The sequence below is a fragment of the Homo sapiens genome, chromosome 7 (assembly GCF_000001405.40).
Source record: "Homo sapiens chromosome 7, GRCh38.p14 Primary Assembly".
In the NCBI taxonomy this organism is placed as follows: domain Eukaryota; kingdom Metazoa; phylum Chordata; class Mammalia; order Primates; family Hominidae; genus Homo; species Homo sapiens.
Window position 1 is genome coordinate 134709431 of NC_000007.14, and position 21123 is coordinate 134730553.

At 41.8% G+C, this 21123-nt stretch overlaps 1 protein-coding gene and 1 long non-coding RNA gene across 8 annotated transcripts in view; one reads left to right on the plus strand and one right to left on the minus strand.

Annotated features, from left to right (window-relative positions):
• LOC124901750 (uncharacterized) overlaps positions 1-21123 on the minus strand; it is a 224798-nt gene that overhangs the window by 90344 nt on the left and 113331 nt on the right. The window lies entirely within an intron of this gene.
• The window catches only part of CALD1 (caldesmon 1), a 259231-nt gene continuing 240176 nt past the window's right edge, over positions 2069-21123 (plus strand). For 2 of the 4 annotated variants that reach the window (NM_001438770.1, NM_001438779.1), the window contains exons 1-2: positions 2069-2167; positions 4659-4755. The gene's annotated coding sequence lies outside the window, so the exon portion shown is untranslated. The remainder of the gene's footprint in view (positions 2168-4658; positions 4756-21123) is intronic. The other 2 variants (NM_001438769.1, NM_001438778.1) reach the window with 1 other exon arrangement.

The following is a 21123-nucleotide window of genomic DNA, read 5'->3' on the forward strand; positions in this document are numbered from 1 at the left end:
TTAAGCCAAACACCTTTGTTGGATTATTTTCCTCTTGGGAGAGCTGATGCTCCCTCCCAGGCTGGCCACCTTATCTCTTTAGGGACTGACATCCCATCTGTAACCAATAATTTCAATATGGATTTTTTGAGCCCTGTATTTCCAGGAATTATTATTATTATTTATTTTATTTTTTTGAGACAGAGTCTGGCATTGTCGCCCAGGCTGGTGTGCAATGGCTCGATCTTGGCTCACTGCAACCTCTGCCTCCCAGGTTCAAGCAATTCTCTTGCCTCAGCCTCCCAAGTAGCTGGGATTACAGGCACCCGCCACCATGCCCAGTTAATTTTTTGTATTTTTAGTAGAGACAGGGTTTCACTATGTTGGCCAGGCTGATCTTGAAATCCTGACCTCGTGATCTGCCTGCCTCAGCCTCCCAAAGTGCTGGGATTACAGGCGTGAGCCACTGCTCCCGGCCAGGAATTAATTTTTAACAATAGATTGGTACAGGATTAAATGGCCCAGAAACAGTTAAGTATCAAAATGTCTTCCTATGTGACCAGTCTTTTAATTGCAGCAGAATAATACAATATTTTTTACATTTCTACAACATATATTTATTTGTAGAAAATTTGGAAAATGCAGGAAAACATAAAGACTAAAGTAATAACCACCCATAATCCTACTTCATTTTTGAGCCTAGCGTTTCAGTTTTTTTCTATGTATGTACATATATTTATACACATCTATATGTATGTTTACATGTGTAATATGTGTAATACATGCTTTGAGAGCTCATATTTACAAACTTCTAGAAACTGGCTTTTTTTTTTTTTTTTGAGATGGAATCTCGCTCTGTCACCAGGCTGGAGTGCAGTGGTGCAATCTCAGCTCACTGCAACATCTGCCTCCAGGGTTCAAGTGATTCTCCTGCCTCAGCCTCCTGAGTAGCTGAGATTATAGGCACCCACCACCATGCCTGGCTAATATTTGTATTTTTAGTAGAGGTGGGGTTTCACCATATTGGCCAGTCTGGTCTCCAACTCCTGATCTCAGGTGATCCGCCCACCTCAGCCTCCCAAAGCACTGGGATTACAGGCAGAACCGGCTTTTTAATTTAGTGTATCATGAACATTTCCCCATGTCATTGATTTTCTACTCCAGAATGATTGTAAATGACTGTAGAGTGCCTCACGGCAGTGGGTTTTGCTGTGGCCTGGCCACAGGGTTCAGGAAGCCTTTCCCCAGGGCAACACTGGGTTGTACTTCCCTGCCTGCCCTGCTCTGTAGGGGAGCACGGGCTCTAGGCAGGGCATCCCATAGAGGTACCCGCATGCTCTGCCACCGCCAAGGTCACGCTCCCTGTGTTGTCCCATGGGGTTAACCGAACCAGCAGTTGCACCCTCTCGTGCTTGAGGATTTTCACAGTCTCAATGGGAGGGGGAAGGGAAGGGGAGGAGGCTTCCTATAGGGGCCACCCTGCATGTGAAGGGTGCCAGTGTGGCCCAGCAGTGAACCCCCCAGGCTGGTGTCAGGCTGACTGGTTTCTGAATCCCTGCCCCACTGTACTCTAGCTCTAAGCCCTCCGGCAAGGTTTCGAACCTCTCTGGCTGAGATAAGGTGATAACAAAAGTGCTTACTTCAAAGAGTTGTGAGAATTAAGTAAGAAATCCGTGCAAAGCATGTGACACAGTGTCTGGCAAACAGGAGGAGCTCAGTAAATGTCAGCTGCTGTCACTGTTGCCTCGGGGTTCCTGTGAGGGTGAGGGAAGTGGTTGGGAGGACAGGTGGGGTAAGGTACAGAGAAGAATCCCGAGAAGAAACAGAGTCTAGGGAGGATGCTGGTGTCAGTGGTGAGAGGGACTGTGTGATGTGAGTTTTACGTGTCAACTAGGGCAGGCCGTGCCACCCAGATATGTGATCAAACACCAGTCTAGATGTCACTGTGAAGGTATTTTTTAGGTGATTCACATTTAAATTACACTAAGAGTAAAGTAGTTATCCTCCAGGATGTGGTTAGGCCTCATCACAAAGGCCTTAAGAAGGAAAAAAACCAGAGGTCCCCTAAAGAGGAATACATTCTGCCTTCAGACCGACTTTGGACTTCAGCAGCAACACCAGCTCTTCCCTGGTCTCCAGCCTGTCTGCCTGCTGCGCAGACTTCAGCCTGGCCAGCCCTCATAATCATGTGAGCCAATTCCTTAAAATCAACCTCAGCTTCTCTCTCTCTCTCTCTCTCTCTCTCTCTCTCTATATATATATATATATATATGTGTGTGTGTGTGTGTGTGTGTGTGTGTGTGTGTGTGTGTGTGTGTCTCTCTCTCTGTCTCTGTCTGTCTCTCTCCATATATATCCTATTGGTTCTATTTCTCTGGAAAACTATAACTAATACAGGCTGTTATGTAAAGTGTAGAAAAAATACAGAAAAGTTAAAATGGAGACAATGAAGGCTCAGGCAAGGTTGGTGGAGGAGGGAAGAGAAAGGGATCACTGGACACGTTCAGAGCAGGAACCAGCTCCCATTTATCTTTGTAACCTTAACACAGTTCCTGGTGTATAGGTACCAAATAAAGGAAGGAAGGAAAGAAGGAAAGGAGGGAGGGAAGGAGGGAGAGAGGGAGGGAAGGAGGGAGAGAGGGAGGGAGGGAGGGAGGGAGGGAAGTTGGGAAAGAGGAAAAAAAGAAATTCCCAAGAGAGGCTTGAGGCAAGATTCTGCTCTAGTTGTCATTCTCCCTTTTTAATTCTTGAAACAATGCTTAGAGTACTCGTTTTCAGCATACTCTAAAATCAAGCAACAAGTACAGATCTCTTACCATTTCCTCCAAACCTTTTGCTTCATCAGACATCTCTCTCAACTATCTCACTTGGAGGTCCAGCCAACAATATCTTCTTTTTAAAATATTTAGTCTGGAATCTGTCTTGGCGCAGTCATAATGCCCTGCTTTGATTATGGACTGGTGGAGAGATGGGACCCGGAAGACAAATGCCCCAGATTACTGGGTAATTACATCCCGGCCACCAGAATTCTTCCCTGTGGTTTCAACTGGATACACGCATTGCATGCCCTGTAGTCACCCACAAAGCAGCCACACTCCTGCTCAAGACACTGGAGTTGTGTCTCTGGGAAAATGTCCCACCTGGGACAATCCCTGGAATGTCTTCTAGAATTAAAGTAGACACTAAAGATGGTGGGTTATCAATTCATCATTTTACATTTGTTCATCCTCAGAACTCAAGAGTGGGTTTTCTCTTTTGTGGTAAAATTGCAGGGCTCTGCGGAGACTTTGATGCTCAAAGGGATTCTTCCTACCATAAGGTCAGAGAGTCAGTCTTTTAGCTGAGATCTGACCCATATTGAAATAACAAACTACCCTTGAATAAAACAGCAGTCTAAGACGGAATCAGGCGTGCCTTCGAGTGGGGTTTACATAATAGAGGGAAAGAAGAGAAGAAAGTCGTTAAAATCCAAGAGGAAAACATGCCTGAAAATAAACTTTATGTGTTTTATAATTTGAACTAACGCAATTCCCATTCACTCCTTCCCTCTTTCATTCAAGGATTTATTGACAGTCTATAATATACAAGGGACTCAGATATATATAACCTGGGAGAAGGGTAAAGGTACAAAAACAGAAAAGGAACTTTAAATCCACCTTTCATATTGACAGACGAAGTTCTGGTGATTTCCCCAAATTACTTCCTAACTAGTCAGCATCAGGAAATAAGTGACATTGGTGTTCATAATCCTCTCTCTCACTTTTCATTCCTCGTTTCCTAGACACCCTGTGGACACCCCTTTGGTAGTTCTATTTAATGCCTGCCTAGAACCTACACTTCATGTTAATTTCCACTCTAATCCAAATTTACCTGACCTAGCCCCTATTCCTTCTCACCTGGATGGTGCTGTGGAAAATAACCATAGTAAATAATTTCCTTTTAAGGGATCTAGTTGGAAACATGGATGGCCCCCAAACATGCCCCCAAACATGCAGTTCCCTCTGACTGTGGGGAAGGTTGGGAATGACTTGCTGCCTTGGTGAGTGAAAGCTGGGGGCTCCGGGACATGCAGCGCCTTACACTAAGCAGGATTTCTCAGACTGTGTTTTGTGGGACATGAGTTTCAGGAGAAATTAACAGGTATGCTACAAAAAGAAACATTTTTTTAAATTGAATTAGTATGGAAAACATGACATAATAAATCCCCCCTAGGAAATTCTCCCCCCTCAAATTGGTATAATAAAGGCTTGATATCCTTCAATAAAGAAACTCATTGATTTTAGTTCAGCTTAATATTAATCTCTGGTGGGAAACAGGTTTTTTCCTGTGGAATGATGGTCCACAGAACAGTAGCTTAGAAAATGCACGCCCAAACTCATGAAGTTAAGAAAAGGAAATAGAACTGGTGTGATTTCAGATGACTCCAAACTGCAGAGAGAAAAAGTGTCTTGAACTGGGGAGGGTTGGTGATACGGTTTGGGTCTGTGTCACTGCCCAAATCTCAGGTCAACTTGTAATCCCCAATGTTGGAGGTGGGGCCTGGTGGGAGGTGATGGGATCAGGGGGATGGATTTCCCCTTTGGTGCTGTTCTCCTGAGAGTGAGTTATTGCTAGATCTGGTTGTTTAAAAGTGTGTAGAACCTCCCACCTCCCACCTCTGTCTCTTCCTCCTGCTCCAGGCATGGAAGATGTGCCTGCTTCCCCTTTATCTTCTGCCGTGATTGAAAGTTTCCCGAGGCCTCCAAGTGCCATGCTTCCTGTACAGCCTGCAAAACCGTGAGCCAATTAAACCTCTTTTCTTTCTAAATTATCCAAATTATTGTATTTCTTTATAGCAGTGTGAGAATGGCCTAATACAGTTGGTTTAGAGGAGAGGAAGAAGTTCCAGCCCAACTGCATGGTACCCCAAGAACATGCAGATCCATATTGTAGATAGATCCCATGCTCCTTCACCTCCCAGCCGACTTGTCCTTCCTCTGGCAGGTTCTCCCTGGTCCTTTCAGGTCCCTCCTCTTCAAGTTTGTCCACTTCTCCATCGAGAAGACCTAACTCTGCCCACCTTGCTCTCATCTTAGGCCACTCCTGTCTGCCTCTCTGCATGCCAGTACTGATGCAAGGCAGGTTCTTGGCTTTGCTCAGGAAAGAATTCAAGAGTGAACTGGCAGTGGAAGAAAGCAGGTTTATTGAAGCAGCAGTGTCACTGCTCAGTGACTGCTCCTTGCACAATAGAGCTAGCTCATAGGCAGTTTGCTCAGAGGAGCAGCATATGGGCTGTTGGTTAGCAGTATTTATACTCATTTTTAATTAAATGCAAATTAAGGGATAGGTCATTCAGAAATTTCTAGAAAATGGGTGGTAACTTCCAGGTTTTGTGGTGGAAAGGGGTGATAACTTCCGGGTGTTGCCATGACATTTGTAAACTGTCATGGCACTGGCAGGAGTGTCTTATGCTGATGGGCAGCTAGGGCAAGTACAGGTTGCTTTCTTGGTGCCACTTGCTGGTTCTGGGCAGTTTCCTATCTGGTCTGGAAAACAAGTCCTGCCAGTCTCCTACCTCAATACCAGCTGTGGTTTCCCTTTGCCTAGTAGGGGAGCAGCTGCGTTTTCCTTATTAGTTGGCTCAGCTTCTTTCCTTCAATGAGTTGCCATATGTTACCCATGGGGCAAGGCTATGCCTTGTTGCAAAGATTCCACAAATACAAAACTCTAGCTTCATTGTGAGATATATATACTTCAACTCTTTAGAAAAAGAAATTATAATAAATACACACTCAAATTTCACATGCACCAGATTTTAACATACTAGAGACCACCACTACAGTGACTTCTACTACTGGGTGAGCTTGGTTAAGTTCAAACCCAGAAACAGCATTTCTCTCTTGAAATATATTTTCGCTCTTGTGTATATATTTGAATGTCTTACAGTTGTGTCTTTGAACAGATCATGTAGGTCTGCTATAATCTGTCCCTGAATTTGGGCCTGTGCATGTACCCAAAAGTAAACTATTGCAAGTATACACCCTCTATTAACATGGGAAAGACCACGCTCCATTAAATTGCTGGGTAGGGCTTGGGTGTATATGGTCAGCATTGTGCTCTCTTCTGGGGTGAAAATCAGTTATCCAATACAAGTGGACATGTTATGCATTGTCTTATGGCAGTAACATATTGTAGTAGTTTTAATGAATTAAACTTTCTTGCCTTCAGGTTTATAAATTTTATACGTATATATGTATATGTGTATGAGACAGAGTTTATGTTTATATTTATTTTCCTCTGCCCCACAAGTGGGAATGGGATAATTATGCTTACAATAAGAAATGTATCAAGATAAAAATGACAAGTCTGACCAGGTCGAAGGCCAGTCAATGAAGGCCATGTGTGGAAAATTTTCTCATAAAGTCATGCAGAGACAAGGAAAACATTAATAATTATTTGTCATTGGGATTCACCTTTTATGGAGCTAAAAGTTACTGGATGTACTTCATGCAGTAAAAATTTGCAAAATAGTTTTACGATGCCTGCCAAGTTACAATGGTATTTTGTTTTATTATTATTATTATTATACTTTAAGTTTTAGGGTACATGTGCACAATGTGCAGGTTAGTTACATATGTATACATGTGCCATGCTGGTCTGCTGCAGCCATACAATGGTATTTTGAAACAGAATATAGTGAGAATAAAAATAAGGTTATTGGTATCTTACAGTGTGTCTTGAACTTACTGTACCTAGAAAACGGAATATGAACTAAAATTAAATCTTACAATAAAAAGTCACATTCAGCATGACTCTAAGTAGATGTACTCTGAGGGAAAATGGAATGTACCATCAGGGGTAGTTTTGTTAAACCATCTGTTTAAACAATGCAACTGGCTACTATAAAAATTCAACCACTCTCACTGTCTCATAAGATACTAGCTCAGATGCAAGAATTATCACCCAGTGTGTTTAATGAATCAATTAAAAGGCTGAAATTTTGTGAAATTTTGATAGCTCCAGTGGACAAGACTCTGTGTTGCTTGCTTTTGTATTGTAAGTCCATGCAGGCAAATATGAGAAAGATTTATTATTTTCTAAACTCTTGAAATGTACATGACAGAAGAAGAAACTTTTAGATGTTTGAATCAGTTTTTAACACACCATCAAATAAATTGGCAAAAATATAAGCAAAAATATAAATGGACAGAGTGAAAACAATGTCAGGGAAAAAACTCAGCCAGAAGGGTTCATGTCAACACCATGACCAAAGTGAGTTCAAATATTCATGGCAGGTAGAGTGGATGTGAGCTAGTTATTAAAAAGATGACAGCATCTTTCAAAACTACATTGCACCATGCCTTGCAAATTATCAGTTTTATTAAGGAATAGTATTTATACTGTAGACTTTGATGTGTGATATGGATTATGTGAATAGTGAGTTCTAGAATTTACCTTTTTCACACCAAAGACCAATGCCAAATGAGATAAGAAATCACTGGTCTTCGATTTTTTGTGGTTATTGTTGTTGGTAAACAAGCTCCATTACCATACTATCTCTCAAATATAACAAGGTTTGACCACTGAAGCTTTATATATATACTTATCTTAGACTCTGTCTATCTATCTATCATCTATCTATCTGTCTATAATATATTTAATTTTTAGGACGGTATATTTTTACAGAATAATTGAGCAGAAAGTACAGTGAGTTCCGTCTCTTTCCCCCACCTCAACACACACAGTTTCCCCTAGTGTTAACATCTGACATTAGTGTGGTACACTTGTTAAAACTGATTAATCAAAACCAATAATGCTATTATGAACTAAAATCCATGGTTTAGGGTAGGGTTCATTCTGTGTTGCATAGGTCTATGTGTTTTGACAAATGTATAATGTCATGTATCTGCCATAACAGTGCCATACATAATGGTGTCACCACCCAAAGGACCACTGTAGTTTTAATAAGCTGAAAAAGCCCAATTGGAAAAGCAGAGTGACCTTGGTACCTTGCTTACAATGGCCAAGAAAGCACCAGGAATGAAATCGGAACACATTTCAGTTTCATTCAACACATCGCATTTCATGCAATACCAACTAAATGTACCTGCTTTGATCCTGAGAATGAAGGAAAATAAGGGGATAGAAGGTGGCCAGGCAGAAGGAATGGTGTGATGCAGAGAAAGCACTGGAATCCAGCTGCACTTGGCTGCTCAGACTGGAGCATTCGCCCGCCTCCCTGTGCTCAGGCTCCGGGTCCATAAAGTCAAAGTGAGGAGTTTGACTCCATGATAGGGAAGGCCCTGCCAGCTCCACTTGAAAGAAGGCACAATTATTATAACCAGGGCTTGTATATGTTTAATGGATTGGTAAACATTTTCCTTAAGCCCCAGGATTTTTTTGTGTGTGCCAATTGCCTTTGGAGATTTCAAGAATTAAAAAACAAATGACTAAGAAAACATAAATATGGAGACATATATTTCCGATTTTTAGCTTCTTAGTAAATAACTTGCTTGGACTACAGCTAAAACAAAGAGAAAATGCTAGCAATATAGATGGTTTCTAGATAAAAGAACATTCTTCTTGTCATGGAAAAAAAACAATACTAACTATGTGAATGCTTCCAGAAGGTAGAATTTTCATTTGGTACCTATTTTTCTTTTTCCCTTTTGTTTTTAAACACAGAATCAATCTAAAGTTGGTTCATGGTAAGAGAAGAAAAATGGGAGAGCAGTTTTTTTATAAGTGCCTGTGGATTTATTCTGAAACCCTAAGTTCTAGATTGAAAACATTTTTTTAAATCCTCCTCTTGGGAAAGAAGATGAAATCCAAAGGATTGTGTGAATTTACACTATTAATAATAGCTACCATTTATTGTAAGCTTGATGTCATAAGCACTTTACATGGATTATAACATTCTATCCACTCATCAATCTTATGAAGTAGACACTGTTATTATCTCCATTTTACAGACATGACAAAAAGGCACAGAGAAGTTAAATAGCTTGCCCAAGGTCACTCTGTGGTGGTTAAGCTGGGATTTGAGCCGAGGCAGGTTGACTTCTGAACCTGAGTTTTTAATCACTAAACTCAACTGCTATAAATTACATACTTATATTTATTTGTATACATGTGTTTATTTAATGGGAAAAAAATGTTTCATATAATGATGTATCTGAGATGGGAGCAGAGACAAGTAGTAAAATACAGATGATTTATAAAAGGCTTGTTATGCATTAAAAATGCATAAAACCTGGCCTCAGCTGTTTTAAAATTAGAGTAAATTACTGTACAAATTTCTGTTGCAATCAGAAGACGTTGGCTACTGCTGTTGTTGTGAATAATAAAATTCTTTGTCTCTGACCCAGAAGTCTCATGTCTTATACTGGTTGCTAGTTTTCAAGAAGGGTAAAATCTAAGACCCTTAGCAGTTCTTGACAACTGTTTCTGGAGTTTTTATTTCCCCAAAATATTGTCACTATTGCTTAGATGTCATACCTAGATGAATAACACTTGCCAAATAAATTTTTGAGTCAAGTTGAATGAAATAATTACCTTTTACTGGGAACCTATCAGTGGTTCTCACCCATGCTAGCCTCATGACTACTGTGTACACTATAGAGTATTATCTCCATTTTGCAAATGAAGAAACTGAGGTATAAGGACATTATTTTCCCCAATATCCTACAGCTCACAAATGTTAGAACTAAGGTCTGAAGCTAGTCCAATGTTCTTTCTGCCACTATTGCCTCTTAAAACATTTTAGCTACAGAAATATTAACTTTCAGACCAAATTATGAAGGTCACTGGGAACGGAAAAATGATTGTTTAAAGAGAAAATTTAAGCTTCAGAGAAGAAGGAAAGGGAGAAGTGAAGAATAAATAAGGAAGAAAAAAATAGAAAGAGGAGAGACAAAAAGGGATAAAAAAATATGTCCAAATAACTTTACAGGGCAAATAGAGGGCTGGGGTCCCTACAACAAGAGTTGGGAGCAGAACAGGGTTATGAGGCTCGCCAGAGGAACTTGGTGTAGACCTGTAAAAAGTAGCAGAGCACCCAGGGTGAAGCCTAGGAAGAGCCAAACAGCCAATCTAAATAAAGTACCAATCAGGCAAAGGGCTAGAGTCCAGGGAAATGGGGCAGTCATCATTGTCTCCTAGAAAGAGCAGGCAGAGAACAGCGTCCAGGGAAAGAAACCGGTAGTTTGCGAGGGGGGATAGGAGAGATTTCTCCAAGCACAGGAAGAGTGTAGCTGGGCCCATCAATGGCCATTGTCCGATATGTGTTTGTCCATTTTGTTTTGCTTGGACGTCAACGGCCTTGTGTGTGTGCAAAAAAGAGCTTTTAAGGACCCCAATCTGGTTTGGACAAGGTGACAGAAGCCAAAAGTTACCTTGGTTGAGTCTTAAGGGAATGAATTTTGAGAGTTACCTGTTCAAAAGCCAAAATGTTCAAATCCCGAAATGTTCACATCAATCACCAAAGATGCCCCCGAAATGTTCACATCAATCGCCAAAGATGCCCGCAGTGAGTGTTTGTTTTCTTGTTTGTATCTCTGTTTCAACTCAGTTGTACTTTGAGCTACACAGATCCTTCAAAAGAATAAAAGCTGGGTTTCTTAACCCCCGCTTTGGTTAGCGTGTATGCTTTCAGCACCTATGTTTAGTATTTTTTAGAATGTAGCCTTTGTAAACTTCACCCACTGTATTTTGCTGAAGTCAGACTCACCCTTTGTTCACCAGTAATCAGCAAACATTTGTTAGTGACGACAGTGGCACTCTGGTTAGCCCTCCTCTTTTTTTTTTTTTTTTTTTTCCTTGCAGAGCATAGTTGAAATAATTTGGGAAAGTTTCTCTTCTTCAAGGAGCTGGGAAAGAATGATGAATGGGCCCCTTGTTCTGATGCATCCTTCTATTTCCTGCAGAGGAAAAAACTGACGGCTGCTAATCTCTGTGTGTTCAGGAGCTCTACCTTCCTTCCTAATAAGATCGCTGTTGTAATAAGCATGTGCCATGGAGGTGAAGCAGAGTTTCCCATTATTTATTAGGCCTGAGTCCTCATTAGTAACTTCTTTATAAAATAAACATGAGGCTTTGCAGAAATGGGGAACAAGAGCCTACTTCATACAAAGTACAATGATAAATGTCTCCTGTGGCCCCAGATTCCAACGCTTAACATCTGTGATCTCCCCATCTCCATGGCAACATAAAGTAAATAGTAAAAATAGTCCAAATCCAGGAAAAACACAGCAGGGAATGTCTGTCCTAAAGGAAAACAAACGCTTAACATGCACTCATACATGAGCAAGAGGACCCACATGAAATGTAGCAGTTGGTCAATAGGAAAACAACAGAGAGTGGGGAATGAAGGGTCTTCAAGCTAGCAGACAAGAAATGTCAGATGATTTGAAGAAGTGTTGTCTGCTTTCAGTAGGAGGCCTGAAGGGAACATTGTGTCTTATATTCATGGGCTTGTACAGTGTGTATTTTACATTTTGTACAAATGTGTTTTGAATTATAAGCTTGTCATATTACACTAGATTTAAAGGGAACCATAGATTATAAAAGTAATAGCATCAAACAAAGAGTTGAGAACTGGTGATTTGGTGTTTGCCATGTAACTTCTTAGCAAAGCTGTGGTCTGCCTAACAGACCCTCTGAATCTTCTCCCTACCTGTAGCCCAACAGCCTGGGGCTGTTCCTGATATTCGCTATAGGCCGCTGGAACAGGAGGCTCTGTGGCCTCCCTGTGTCCCCCACAGTTGTGGCAAGAGCAGTGGAGCAGCCCTCTGGAAGAGAAGAATGTTCCCCTTAGGGGTGCAAGAAAATGCCTGGGAATAGGATATTTTCAAGAACGGCGATTTTCAGTTAATTTAATTTTCTGATTAACTGCAGTGACTTTGGGCCTTTCAACTCACTGAGCCTGGTTTAAGTCATCTGCAAAAAAAAAAAAAAAAAGGATGGGGTACTTCATGACCCTGGAGTCCTGCCAGCCTTGGAATTCTGCAATTCTATGAATTGAGCACAAGGCATGATTTTGTTTCAGCCTTTGTGGATTAAAAAACTTAGAATTCCTGGGTTTCTACTATAGTAGAACAGTTTCTACTGTTCTACTGCTGGTTTCTACTGCTATAGTAGAACAGTTTACTGGGTTTACTGTTCTACTATAGCAAAAAATACAACCCCATGGCTGTGTGTGTTTAGGGGAGGTGGGGGGGTGAAGGGTGGATGTGGTTTAGGGGAAAGACCGAGGGGGTCTACAGCCAATCCCAGTGACTAGCTGTGTGACCTCAGGCCAGTTATTCCACCCTTCTTGGCGGTAGTGTCTCCATCTCCATCAATGGAGATGATGGTATTCCTTGCAACATTATTGCTGTAGGAATACTGGTAAATGATCAACATATGGTAACCACAATATCCTATCAGATTTGGAGTCAGTACTTGAAGAATATTTTTCATCACATAGGTAAGACTTGATAGTAGTGGGGTAGCTCGTGCTGTGTAATTTATGGAACGCAGTCTCAATACTTTGTGATGGGGTTTCCGTTTGGCTCTAAGCAAGTGTGACTCTACCCTGAAGATCTATGGTGGGGTTTTTCTTTTCATTCCCTGACTGTAGCTTTTTCCTCTGATGGTTTTTCTCTTTCTTAAAGCTAGAGCACAGCTAAAACATTCTAGTTAAGTGAATATCCTAGAATGGCTGGATCCTAACACGTGGAAGTCTTTACTGTATGATTTGTGCACAGACACCTTGCCGGTTATTCACAGGTCGTGTTCAAATTTAAAGCTCACCAGGAGTCAATAGCCACAAAGATGACTTTGGAGCAGATTCCCTCTCTTCTATTGTTCCTTTCCTCCGGCCAAGTTTCTCTTCTCTTTGCCACTTTTTTCCTCTCTTACCCTTTCACCATTCTCTTTTCTCTTTTCTTCTTCTTCTAATCTTTTGATTTTAGTGTTCTCATCTTTCCAACTTTGTGCTGTGCATTCTGCAGTAGTTCGATTTTGTTTATTTATTTATTTATTTATTTATTTGTTTGTTTGTTTGTTTCTGAGATGGAATCTTCCTCTGTCGCCCAGGCTGGAGTGCAGTGGCACAATCTCAGCTCACTGCACCCTCTGCCTCCCAGGTTCAAGCGATTCTCCTGCCTCAGCCTCCCCGAGTAGCTAGGATTACAGGAGCATGCCACCACACCTGGCTAATTTTTGTATTTTTAGTAGACACAGGGTTTCACCATATTGGTCAGGCTGGTCTCGAACTCCTGACCTCGTGATCTGCCCACCTCAGCCTCCCAAAGTGCTGAGATTACAGGTGTGAACCACCGTGCCTGGCCTCTACCGTAGTTTTATTTCTCACTCCTTTGTTACATCTTATTCCACCCCCTCCACCTTTCCTTTCTGCTATCCTTTTACTTCCATTTACCCACAGTCCCTGCTGGGAGGCCTTTTCTATTAGATATATAGTGGAAAGGCAAGTCAGCTTTTCTTTGAATTTAGGAAAATGGGACTCACAGTTAACTTCTGGGGCTGAATTTCCAGAGGCCTTTGTCAGAGAGCCCAGCTGCTCTAGAATGAGAGCTATCAGGATGAGACCTACCAGCTGCCTGGGGTTGTAGTGATTCCAGAGGCACCAGGATTCTAACCAGCCAAGGGAAGCACTAACACGGATTGGTTTCTAATATTAACTATCACCCCCACAGCTAAGCCTGAGTATGAAGCTCATCTCTATCAGTTATCAGCTGACCGACCTTGGATAAATTACTCAATCTTTTTGAGTTTCAGTTCTTGCGTAAAAAGATATAACTGTTATACCTCCTCGAGGCATATCACAGATTAAATGAGATCACATATGTAAAGGGCATTTAGGGTAATCTGAAGTTTCTCTGCAGTTTCTGCATCTTGGCCTAGGATTTTTAATCCCTTAGGAAAATTCTGTCTATCTTCTGGGTAGTTTAGGGTTAGTATGGCTCAGAGCCCTACCCTGGTCCTCTTGTCCTGACATTAATTGAGTTAGAAATAAGGTAGTGCTCAATATCATGCTATATACCACTGCTCTTGGCACCCTTAAATCCAGCCATACTCAATACCCCCAATATTCCCATTTGATTCACTAATGACTCAAGCTGTCAAGTACAGTAGAAAAGGTAACTTTTTTTTTTTTTTTTTTTTTTTTTTTTGCAGAAAACTGCAAGCTCAAAACCAGTTTTAAACCTCATTCCAGGTCTGTTTAAAGCAGTGTTCTCAAGTGGGGGTGATTTTGTCTCTTAGAGAACATGTGGCATGTCTGGAAATATTTCTGACTGTCACAATTTTGGGGGCAGTCTGGGATGGTGCTACTGGTACATAATGAGTGGAAGCCACGGATGCTACTGAATGTTCCACAATGCAAAGAATGCACCTGTTCCAAATGTCCATAGTGCTGAGGTTGAGAAAGCCTAGTTTAGAGGTAGCCAGTTGGACAAAATCATGTTGGAAGTAGGGGGATTCTCTTGGCTTTAGAATCCTACTGTTTATTGAGTCTGAGAAAAGCCTGGATAGAGGAGGCGTTCAATGGGATCTGAAAAATATTTTAAAACTGAGCTGCTGTTATGAATTCAGAGAAGCATATTTGCCTTTTAGACAAAAAGATGTGGGGCCTCTTGCATGCCAAAAATTTGCTCAGGGTTTGCTATGCGGCAGCAGGAGAATCTGTCCATAAAAGGGATGGACTTTGCTGCCCAGAGGGATTCCCTTCAAGGGTTTCCCTTGTGAGCCTGAAGAATCACTGGGAAAGGGCAAGCCTGGCCAGCTTCGAGTTCCAGCCCCTCACCAAGGCGTGTTTATATTTCTCCGGAGGTGAGAGTGAATACACTTTAGGGAAGGGAAGGCACTCTAGCCCTAAAAAGGGGTTGTTTAGCAACCATCTTCTTGTTTCTTGGATATGAAGATTAACCAGCTTAGCTGGGAAAGGCCTTTGAGAAGGGAACCTAGGTTTAATATTCAGGGGAAGCTGAGAGAAAGGCATCACTGAGGGGAGAGCGCCTGGGGTTGTAGCTCAGAAAGATATAAGTCTGAACCTCAGCTCCTCCAGCTGTGGACTGACTCTGTGACCTTGGACAAAGAAAGGAAAAATAACTAAGATTACAGCACACCTACTGTATGCCAGACTTGATGGTAGTGTTGCATATGCAATATGATTTCACTTTATTTTTACAATAGCACATGAAAATAGTTTAGCTAAATCATATAGTCAGTAGCTGGCTAAAGAACTCTTGGTTTGTTTGACTCCAAGGTCCACGATTCTTCTATACCACACTGTCTCCCAAAGTCCTTAGCTTCTTTAAGCCTCAGTTTCATTGCTTGTGAAACAGGTACAGAGGAAGATTAGGAAAGTGAATTTAGAACAATCCAGTATGCTTCAGCCAGCACTCCTCCAGGGGGAGCTCCATACTCCTTCCTCCTTTCTACTGCCCTCTCCCTCCTCTTCTGAGGTTGGATGGCCTTAAGAACGTGTATCAGCCATTCACACCCAGGGGGACATCAGTGTGCTGAGAACAAGGTCCTGTGCCTAACCAGGAGGCTGGCTTCTGCATCCTTCTCTTCCTCTGCAAAGCTTCAGCTAATTCCCTGTGTCTAGGAGCCAAGAGGTGGGTGCAGTCAACCCCCTCTTCTTGTGGCCTCCCTTTTCTATTTAATTTCTGAGAATGATGACATGAGGTGGCCTAGGGATTGCTCCTGACAGCCAGAAAGAACTGTAATCTCTTTCACTCCTCAAACACCATTCTCCAGGGCCACAGCCCTGGCCTGAGTACCTATGTGGACAGCCCAGACTAGCTCTATTCAAGGCCTCAAAGTAAGCCTTTCCTTAATTCAATATTTCTGGATCTTAGTGCAGAAATTGACAGTGATATCTCTCCTCAGGCCTGTCATCCATGGAACAAAAGGAGGTGTCCATGGGTTCAACCTATCTCCCTGGATTCTACATTCCATGTGGGATCCAAACCATCCTGAAAACGAAGTGTCACTTTGTCTGTTTTATAATTTGTATGCATCTCTCTCTCAAAGGGCTTTTCAAAAGTGGGTGATTTAGGGCAGGATTTGCAATTCCTCAATTTCCTGAGCATGTATAGCATTAATATCACCCTTAGATTCTGTGGTACCCCCAATTCTAACAGTTGGTGCTTGACAAATATCACTCTTCAGTGCTCTTGTCCCACCTAACAAAGCTGAAAACAAGACCTGAAAGGATCAATTTATTTCCAAGGGCAATGGGCTGAATGGTGGCCCAAAGACATTGGATTTTAATCCCTGGAACCTATAAATGTCACCTTATTTGAAAAAAGAGTCTTTACTGATGTGATTACCTTAAGGATCTTGACATGAGAATAACATCCTGGATTATCTGGCTGGGCCCTTGATGCCACCACAAGTGTCATCATAAGAGTGAGGCAGGAGGAGATTAGATGTACGCAGAGGAGAAGGTGCTACAAAGACAGAGGCACATTGGAGTGACGTGGCCAAGGCACTACCAGAAGCTAGAAGAGGTCAGGAATGAATTCTCTTCTAAAACCTCTATGGGGTCCCCTGATGACACTTTGCTTTCAGACTTCTGGTCTCTAGTACTGTGAAATAATAAATTTCTATTGTTTTAAGCTACTAAATTTGGGTAATTTGTTACAGCAGCATTAGAAGACTAATACACCAAGTAACTTAACTGAATCTTATAACAAAACCCAAGAATACTTATAGGAATACACCATTATTCAGCACCTAACAAGATAAAATCCACAATGGCTAACATCCCACCAAAAATTACCAGGCATGCAAAAAAAGCTGAGAAATACAACACATAAGGAGAAGAAAAATCAGCTGAAACTGATTCAGAAAAGACTCAGATAATACAATTAGCATATATAACTATATAAGCATATATAAATATATAAGAATATATTAATATATTAGCATATATAATCTTAATTGATCTTTATATATTATATGTATATAACTTAATATAATATATATCTTTTTATATATTATATTATATAGCTTTATATATATAATATATATTATATAGCTTTATATATATAATATATATTATATAGCTTTAGATATATAATATATATTATATAGCTTTAGATATATAATATACAATATATTATATATATATATAAAGATCAGGACACGGATGCTGCCAGGGATACAGCTGAAATACAGAATTATGTTACAAAAGGACAAAAAGGAGAACATTGGCAGACAGCTGGCAGTTCTAGCCATCACCATAAAAAAAAAATTTGTATCACCAGTTGTATTAGTCAGGGCTTTATAATTGCAAACAACTCAAACAGATGTGGTTGATTTCAGCAGAAAAAGCATTTAATAAAAGGGTATTGTGTATTTCACAGACTTCAAAACCAGGCTTAGAAATTGAACAGGGACAAATGAGGCCTGGCAGCAGCCAGGACCACAGCTAAAATCTTGCTCCAGAGCCCATCTAGTGAGGATAATGCTGGACGTCACAGCTCACCCCTGAAGTCACCATCACTCCACATCTGGTGCTCCTCAGCCACTGTTGTCACTAGAAAGTCCACATTGTTGGCAGTACTGCCGCCAACCTCCAGAAATGTTCCTCCTCCTCACAGCTTCTTTGCACTACTAGAAGGGTGCATCTGCCAGGAAGAGCTCAGTCATATTCTGAACCCCAACTGCAAGGGAGACTGGGAAATGAGCCTTCCACTTCTACAGTGGGAAGCAAGTTTTGCCTCTCATCAAGATTTACAGGAAAAGAAATCTTCTGGAAACCTGAAGAGGGTACAGAATCTGAACTATCAGATAAAAAGGAAAACTAATAACAATAGTAATTGACAAAGATCTGTTCCATGGATTCAGATTCTACTGATGTTAGTGAGAGCCATGTGCTTTGCAAGTCAAACAGGCGATCGTAGCACATGCAACTCATCTTCTGCTCCTCAGGACCCTCTAGTCACATGCCCACACCCGTCTTTGCTTCTTACTCCTGTCAAAGAACAAAATTTTAACAAATGGAGTTTTAAAGATCAAACTATCAAACCAGCTTTTCTTAGTTCATAAACTGAACATCATCTAGTCCACAAAATAGACAGGAGCTCTGCCAGGCATGGCGGGAACAGTCCATTTTTATAAAGTAGCTTGAGCAGGAAGAACAAGCAAAGTCCATTTTTAAAAAGTAGCTTGAACAGGAGGAACAAGGAAACAGCATGGGGCAAAAACCTGGTTAACATCAGGTTACTTTCCTTGCACGGATTAAAGCAGAGCGGACTTCCTTCACATGCCGGCTCAGGTTGGCTGGTTGCTGTGAATCTCATTGGGTTTTTTGGGAAAACTGGCCTGTCTGGGGGTTTGGCTATCATCTCTCTCCTGACTTCTCACATAGTACAAGTGAAAAGCTTAGTTCTCAGTTTGGTGATGAGGAGCATTAGCATGAATGATTCTATTTTGGGTTGGTCTGTTGGGACCTAGTGCAGAAGAAGCTCGGCCCAAATGAGTGGTCTTCCATAAGTTTTCTTTAACTTTGCTAATGAGTAGATTTTAGTCAGACATATTTGAGGTTTATGAGTGATCCTGAAGAAGTAAACGATCCAAGTCTGTGTTATGAACTTCCTATTTTTGGTGATTTTTCTTTGCTAACATTAGTTACTTTATGGACGTCCTATTAAATGCCAACTGATTTTCTTTGTATTCAGCATGGAGAAAAGTAAAATCTAAAAAGAGAATGGTGATGAGTTCTTTGTGCTATAATACTCAATGTAGAGAATGACGTTGAGCCTATTTGGCCTGACCAACCTGCTTCCTGGATTAAGTCTTGATCTGATCAAAGACAAACTTCAGCTGAATTAAATTTAAAAGAGTTCAATTGAACAATGAACGATTCACGAATCGGTCAGCCCCCTGAGCCAGAGTATGCTTAGAGACTCCAGCACAGCCACGTGGTAGAAGATTTATGGACAGAAAAAGGAAAGTGAGGTACAGAAAACAGAAGTCAGGCACAGAAACAACCTGCTTGGTTACAGCTCAGCGTTTGCCTTATCTGAACATAGTTTGGACAGTGGCTACATTTAACTGGCCGAAACTCAGTGATTTGAACAAGTGTAGGCTACAGTCTGTTTACACCTCCACTTGTTATAGTTGACGATATACAGAGGAACATTTAGGCCGAACTTAAAATATGTAAGGAGGCAGCTTTAGGCTAAACCTGATTGAACAGATCTGTGATGATTCTTAAGCAGTCACCCCCATTCTTCTTAATTCAAAGGAAGCATTAGACCAGAGAGTATCTGACTGGAAAGACCAGTGTTTCCAACAGCTGCATTTGGGATGGAAAGATCTCTAGACTCTTCCTGTCCCTATCGTTCTATCCCTTGAGGTTAATTCCTTTGGCCCTTCCATGAAGCTCTGATTAAAATACAAAAATCACAGGAGGAACAACTGATAAAATATACCTTTTCTTTTTTTTTTTTTTTTTTTTTTTTTGACCCAGAGTCTTGCTCTGTGCCCAGGCTGGAGTTCAGTGGCACAATCTCGGCTCACTGCAACTTCCTCCTCCCTGGTTCAAGCAATTCTGGTGCCTCAGCCTCCTGAGTAGCTGGGACTACAGGCACCTGCCACCATGGCTGGCTAATATTTGTATTTTTAGTAGAGACTGGGTTTCACCATGTTGGCCAGGCTGATCCTGAACTCCTGGCCTCAAGTGACCTGCCCACCTCAGCCTCCCAAAGTGCTGGGATTATAGGCATGAGCTGCCACGCCTGGCCAAAAGACATCATTTTTAACACCTTCAAGGAGTGAGATTTTAGGTAATAACTACTACTTACTGGCACTACAGAGTGCTTCCTGCACAACTTAGCACATTCTTCTTCATACAAGCCCTATCATAGAGTAGTATTATTACTCCATTTCTACAGATGAGGAAAGTAAGGGACAGAGAAGTCAAATGACTCACCCATGGTCACCCAGCTAGTAAATGGTGGAGCTGGGACTCAAAATCCCAAAGGTGGTTTCCGATGTCTACCTGTTTAATCTGTGTCCTCTGCTGCCTCTCACCTCGGATAGTGGTGGCACAGGGCACAGGGCAGGTAAGTACCCATAAACGGGAGAAGGGTGTGGCACGCAGCCCCCGAGGGCAGGCCCAAGTCTAGATGGGAACTGTGCCTGTGAGGGGACACACAAGGAAGATTTGAAGGGCCGTACAGTGCAAGTCTCCCCCTGGCCAAGGGCCTCCCTTCTTTCTGCCTGGCAGGCCACAGCCCTCTTGTACAGATGGCCTCTGCCACAGGACACTGCCTTCTGAAGAAGTCACCAATAAAACCAGCAGATTCTTTCTGCTACCTTGAAGTCCAAGAAGAAAGGCAGAGGACAGGGGCAATATCAAGAGGAGCTTTGAGTGATGCTTAAGGAGGTGGAGAATTACTTGCTGCCTATTGAAAGCAAAGATAGCAACATGTGTAACAGTGAGAAAAGCCCCTGCTTTTCTCAGAAAGAAGGAAAGCTGCTGGGGTCAAATCTAGACTCTGGATGGAGAGTTGGATGGGATTTATGCTCCTGGATGGTGGGCTCTGTGGACCCGGAGCCCCAGAGTGCGGTCCCTGAAGACAGAGATTCCCAGAGCACCATGTAAACAGACACAGTCACAGATGAGAGAGCAGAGGACATGAGGCGGCTGCTGCCTGGGGAATGTCTTAGCTCTGAAGGGAATCTGAAACTTTAGTTCTGGGAGCCTGCCCCATTCAGCAAAAGGCCTGAATCCAAACCAGGATTCAAATCCTGTCCTCATTCATTCTCTGTCTCCCTGCTTGCTCCCTCCCTGCCTCCCTCCCTCCCTCCCTCCCTCCTTTCCTCCCTCTCTTTCTCACAACATTCACAGCGTTTGCCTCTAAATATAAATCAAACATCCAGAAACATTAGAGGATAAGTAAAGAGAACCGAAAGAAACAAAATCATACCAAACAACCCTTTCGTTTTCCCAACCAGACCAGGGACTGGTGGAGGAAAACAGAAAGGCTCCTGACAAATCCATCATGTAAGGACCCCAACTTCCCAATTCTTTCATCCTCACAAGAGCATTAGGAACTATCCACGGGTTTTACAAGCAGTAATGCAAGCACCACACTGTGGTGCAAGCTCCTTGAAAAGCCCAGACTTATGGCACTTTGATAA